Consider the following 6,000-nt stretch of genomic DNA (forward strand, 5'->3'; position numbering starts at 1 on the left):
CCTCAGTGAATCACAAAAAGCTTTCTTTACCTGGTGAAAATATACTGTAACACAGTAATCTACTACATCTTATTATTATTATATTATTATGCTTCATACATGTAGCATAATAATCTATTACATAATATCAGCACTCTTGCACGGAAGAGCTTTTATACAACTAGAAAACATGCACCGAAAATAACAATTGAATGAAATCCTTTTATAAAATGTTTAAATGGCCCATCAGGTAACCAAATGTACCTGAAGCTTTGATTGTTTTTCCCAGGAATATGGGTTAACAAACCAAACATTGGTTATAAGCTATTTTAGCAATTTATAAGTTACCACACCAATATATTTAATTTGGATTATTTTGTCTTTCCCATGATGAGTCATGGAATGCAGAACTTTTAATAACAAAAGCTTTAAGGACTCAGGAAGAACAAAGTGGCTGTCCTGGTTCTCCATGAGTCCATGCTTGATTAACATTAGACTTATGTCCTCTTCAATACCAGTTGTTTCTCCAAATTAGGTGCATAGCACTGATAATTGATGGGTTGTCATAGGTAATTTGACTTAGATCATGGATTTCATTCAAATTTCATCAGGACAGAGGATGGAACTCAGAGGTGAGAGGGTTGGACTCTGGATGTTTCCTTTGGAAAACTGCAGACAGTAAGTGATCCTATGTGTATGTGTGGCGGAGACTGGAGACTGTGCAGGGCTTGGAGAACCCATGAGGCTCCCATGGACTTATTTACTCCCAGCTGCAATATCAGCAAGCCACTGTTGACCCAGATCCTATGTGGCCAGCTGCCCTGCTATTTGAGTCCTCCTTGCGGCTGGGCGCAGTGGCACACACCTGTAATCTTAGTACTTCGGGAGGCCGAGGTGGGTGAATCACAAGGCCAGGCATTCGAGACCAGCCTGGCCAACATAGTGAAACCCCATCTCTACTAGAAATACAAAAATTAGCTGGGCGTGGTGGCGGGAGCATGTAATCCCAACTACTCGGGAGGCTGAGGCAGGAGAATCGGTTGAACCTGGGAAGTAGAGGTTGCAGTGAGCTGAGATTGTGCCACTGCACTCCAGCCAGGACAACAGTGGGAGACTCCATCTCAAAAAAAGAAAAAGTCCTCTTTGCATAGTTTTGTATTTGTAGGAGTGCTTATGGGTGCTGAAGGGTCTGTAGGAAAGATGGACTTTATCAGATTAATGTAAAATTTACAGGATATACACTAGCTAATAGCAAGGAAATCCTTTACTCAATATACTCACAAAATGGATTAGAAAACCAAAAACAAACACTACAATAAACCACCAAATCATGCCTTGCTCCAATGTCTCTTCCTGTATCTCTTCCTGTATTTTTCACTGCTCCTTATAAGAGGTTCATGTAATGCTTTCTTTGTAGAATTTCATAGTGGGAAATTTCATCTTTCATGAAGAGCTTGTAGGCTTCCTGCAACAACCATGGAAATGTGTCCACTGGATCTCTCTCCAAGAAGGAACTTGCCAATCAGCCATGAGAAGTGCAGTGAGCTGTCATTCCCCCAGGTGCAACATTTAGCCGAGGCCAGGCTCTTCCCAGGAAGACCCCAGCCAAGGACAGAACAGGGTAGGGGTCTTAGGGCGTGGTTCCTTCTGTCCAACTTGGGACTCCACTAAGGGCAGTTTTTTGTTGGAGTACTCCCTTGGGCTGGCCAAGGCTTTCTTGGGGTTGCATTTGAGTCTGAGGCTTTTCCTACCCAATCCTCCTTTCTTCTCCGTCTCCTCCCTCCATCACAATCTGTACCTTTTGCAGGCATTACCCCAGTGAATCGTTTGCATTTCTAACTTCCTCTTAGAGTCTGCCTCCCAGAGGAACCCAACTGTCACACTGACAAAATAATGATTCCCTTGATTTCTTGAAACCTGAGTTATACTTGTAATCGTAGTATCTCACATCACCTTCTCCAAAACCACGCTTTGCCGAACAACTGTGTTACACATGCTCTAAGAGATCAGGTACCATCAGGAAGCTTTGCCTACTCTCCTCCTTTCCTATGATCATTTACAAAAACATTAATGTAAAAAAGCTCTAAGAAGTCTTGCAATAAAAAATATTTATCTTTGTTGATCCCAGTTTTCCCCCTAACTTATTTAAACATGGACCTCCTTTTACCTGATGTGCCTAATAACTTCCCATGCAGCATGAGTATGCCTTAAAACACTGTGTGGGCAATCTCATTCAGGAAGTAGGGTTTTTTTTTTTGACATTTATTCTTATTATTATTTGCTTTTTGTTGAGGCAGAATGTATTTTATTGAGGTGTAGTATATATACAGTAAAGTGTGGAAAATGCACAAATCCTAAGTGTACAGCCCAAGTGTTTGAATATGTTTATTTCAGTGTAGCTATTGCCCAGATCAAGATTAAGAGCACTTCCATCACCTTAGAAGAATGTCCCCTTCCCATTATCAGTAAATATACTCCATCCTGCATTAAAACCCCTTTTTAAATGAATGTGCTTGCCTTTTTAGTATTGAGTTTTAGTCATTCTTCCTATCTTTTGGATATAAATGTTTTATCAATTATTCATATTGCTAATATCTTCTCCCAGTCTGTGGTTTGCATTTTCATGCTCCTAGTGGTGCATTTGATGAGAAGTTCTTAATTCTATATAATTAATTAATTAATTAATTAATTAATTTTTGAGACAGAGCCTTGCTCTGTCACCAAGGCTGGAGTGCAATGGCACGATCATGGCTCACTGCAGCCTCAACCTCCCGGGTTCAAGCAATCCTCCCACCTCAGCCTCCTAAGTAGTTGGGACTACAACTATGTGTCACTCCACCCAGCTAATTTTTTAAATTTTTTGCAGAGACGAGTTCTTACTATGTTGCCCAGGCTGGTCTCAAACTCCTGGGCTCAGGCAATTCACCTGCCTCGGCTGCTCAAAGTACTGGGATTACAACTGTGAGCCACTGTGTCTGGTCTCAGAAGTTTTGTTTTGTTTTTGTTTTTGTTTTTGTTTGAGATGGAGTCTCGCTCATTTGCCCAGGCTGGATTGCAGTGGTGTGATCTCAGCTCACTGCAACCTCCACCTCCCAGGTTCAAGTGATTCTCATGCCTCAGCCTCCCCAGTAGCTAGGATTACAGGTGCATACCACCACAACTGGCTAATTTTTGTATTTTTGTAGAGACGGGATTTCACCATGTTGGCCAGGCTGGTCTCAAACTCCTGACCTAGTGATCTGCCTGCCTTGGCTTCCCAAAGTGCTGGGATTACAGGCATGAGTCACTGTGCCCGGCTAGCATCTGCTTGTAGAAACTCTTTTACTTTTCCTGTGTCTTCTAGTACAATGTTAAATAGAGGTAATGACAGTGGGCATTCTTGCCTTTTTGTCAATAATAATGTTAGAAAGTGCTTTGAAAATGAAAGCGCTTCTCTTGTGCAAGGTAAAGTAATTGCATCTGACCCCATGCAATCCTGTCTTTCCTGTATTGAGACAGCAATTGAATCATCGTTGTTAGATCCCTGCTAAACATTGCAATAGTGTCTTGGGTATAGCTGGGGCCTTTGTCTCCCAGCAAGGGAGGAAAGGGAAGATATTGTTACTACTATTATAGATGGAGAAACTGGGTCACAGCATTAGATCAAAACAGACCTATGACCAGAATCTAAATATCTTGCCTGCTGACCCGCTGCCCATTCCCCTGGCCCAGGCTGTCCTGAGACCGTATATGGGTAGGACTGGGCTGGGTTTTTTGCTTGGATTCAGGCCTAATCTGTAAACAGAACTTTTGAGTTGAAGTGGTCTGCTTTTTGTGACAGTCACCATTTCAGAGTCTCTCAAAAGTTCTCTTCACAGAGAGTTGTCTTCAGCATCCCTAGGAGCGATGTAGAGACTACTTGGGCTCTCCGACTGCATTGCAGGATGAGAACATCAATTTTTGGCCTGGGTCCTTTGCAGTAATTTTTGCTGTCAGATCCACAGGTGGGCTTCTAGCTGCTTCTTGACTGAACTCAGGGAGTAAATTTATTTGCAATATGATAGTACCCTACCTTTGTTTCTGCTGTGATTTAATAGATTGGTTATGAAATTGAATAAAAATCATTGATGTCTTTCCAGAACATCACCATGGGCCCCACTCATGATAATAGGGGCTGATTTTGCACTAGCAAGCAGAAATGAGTCAAGAGACTGACTTGGTTTTTATGTCTTCTGTCCCTTTCTAGACTAAATGAAGATCAAGTCTGAAAGTCATTCACTTTGTCATCTGTTGGCTCTACCTTTGACTCAAGTGCCAGCCTCTTCATCTCTCTCCTGGATTCCTATAATACCTTCTCAGCTTCGGCTGTCATTTCCCCTCCACACACAGCCAGCATGAGTGACTGCAAAATCAAAGTCCTGAGCTGGTCTCCCCACTCACTCAAAGGCCCTGTAGGACAGTGTCCCTCTGTGATGGCATAGCCACGCTGGCCTCTTGGCTGTTCCTCAGATATCCCATGCTGCTGCCACCTTGAGCACTTGCTGGTTTATCTGCCTGATTCAATGCTCTTCTCCCGACATTTATCCACATGGACCCATCTGCAAAGTTCTCAAGTTTCTGCTCAGAGTCACCTCATCAGGTTGGTGACAACCTTATTTAAAATAGCTCTTCTTCTCCATATCTCCTTGCCTGACTTCATTTTTATCATAGCAATTGTATTGATTTGTTTTGTTGTTTATTGTGTGTCTCCCTATTCTAGAATGTAAGCTCCTTGAGGACAGGGACTTGTCTGCTTGACTTGTTTCTATCAGGGTGTCAGGACAGGGCATATGGTAGGTGCTTAATAAATATGTGTGGGTGAATGGACAATGATTCATGGATGATATCCAGAGGGTAATGGTGATTGCCAGTCATGGGCATATGGCATTTTGTTTTACAATATTTTTATACATATGGGATATTATTATTATTATTTTTGAGACAGAGTTTCGCTCTGTCACCCAGGCCAGAGTGCAGTGGCATGATCTTGGCTGACTGCAGCTTTGACTTTCCAGTCTCACACAATCCTCCCACCTCAGCCTCCCAAGTAGCTGGGACTACATGCATGCACCACCATGCCTGGCTAATTTTTTAAATTTTTGGTAGGGCTAGGGCTTCACTAGGTTTCTCAGGCAGGTCTCAAACTCCTAGGCTCAAGTGACCTTCCTACCTAAGCCTCCCAAAGTGCTGGGATTACAGGGATGAGCCACCAGGCCCTGCCAATACTATTATTTTTGTTGCTTCATGATACGTTTTAGAAATCTTTTATGTTAGTTAAATGGAAAACTGTCTTGTTCTTTTTGACTGCTACATACCATTCCTCAGTGTGGGTGTACCGTGATGTAACCATTCCCTCCTTAGTAGTCCTTGTTTGCAATTTTTCTATTTTATTTCATTGCAAATAGAGCTTTGAGAAACACCTTTGCACATGTGGTTTTGGGGACATGCATTATCATTTCTTTCATGTTGAACTCCTTCAAGTGAAATTTCCAGGTGTAAGTCACAGCTGCCCAATAGCTTTCTGCAATGATAAAAGTGTTCTGTTCTGCACTGCTCAATGTGGTAGCTACTAGCCACATATGGCTTTTGAGTATTTGAAATGTAGCTAGTGCAACTGAAGAACTGAAATTTAAATTTTGTTTTAATTCTAATTAATTTATATTTAAATAGCTACATATGGCTACCAGCTACTACATTGAATGGCACAGGTATAAATGAATATATTTTAAATTTTAATAAACACAGCTAAAATATGGCTGGGTGTGGTGGCTCATGCCTGTAATCCCAGCACTTTGGGAGGCTGAGATGGGAGGATCACTTGAGGCCAGGAGTTTCAGACCCGCCTGGTCAATATAGTGAGACCCCATCTCTACAAAGAAATTTAAAAATCAACCAGGTGGGTGGTGCTTCTCTATGGCCTTGGCTATCTGAAAGACCAAGGTAGGAGGATCACTTGAGCCCAGGAGTTTGGGGTTGCAGTAAGCCATGATTGTGCCACTGCAC

General features: G+C 42.2%; 1 long non-coding RNA gene across 1 annotated transcript; it reads left to right on the forward strand.

The window, feature by feature from the left end:
- The first annotated feature begins 1,396 nt into the window (after positions 1–1,396).
- LOC124904520 (uncharacterized) lies at positions 1,397–4,824 on the forward strand. The gene is made up of 2 exons (XR_007066890.1): positions 1,397–1,600; positions 4,205–4,824. It is a non-coding gene; the product is annotated as an uncharacterized LOC124904520 (long non-coding RNA).
- Positions 4,825–6,000: the final 1,176 nt, after the last annotated feature.

The sequence above is a fragment of the Homo sapiens genome, chromosome 1 (genome assembly GCF_000001405.40).
Source record: "Homo sapiens chromosome 1, GRCh38.p14 Primary Assembly".
Classification (NCBI taxonomy): Eukaryota; Metazoa; Chordata; class Mammalia; order Primates; family Hominidae; genus Homo; species Homo sapiens.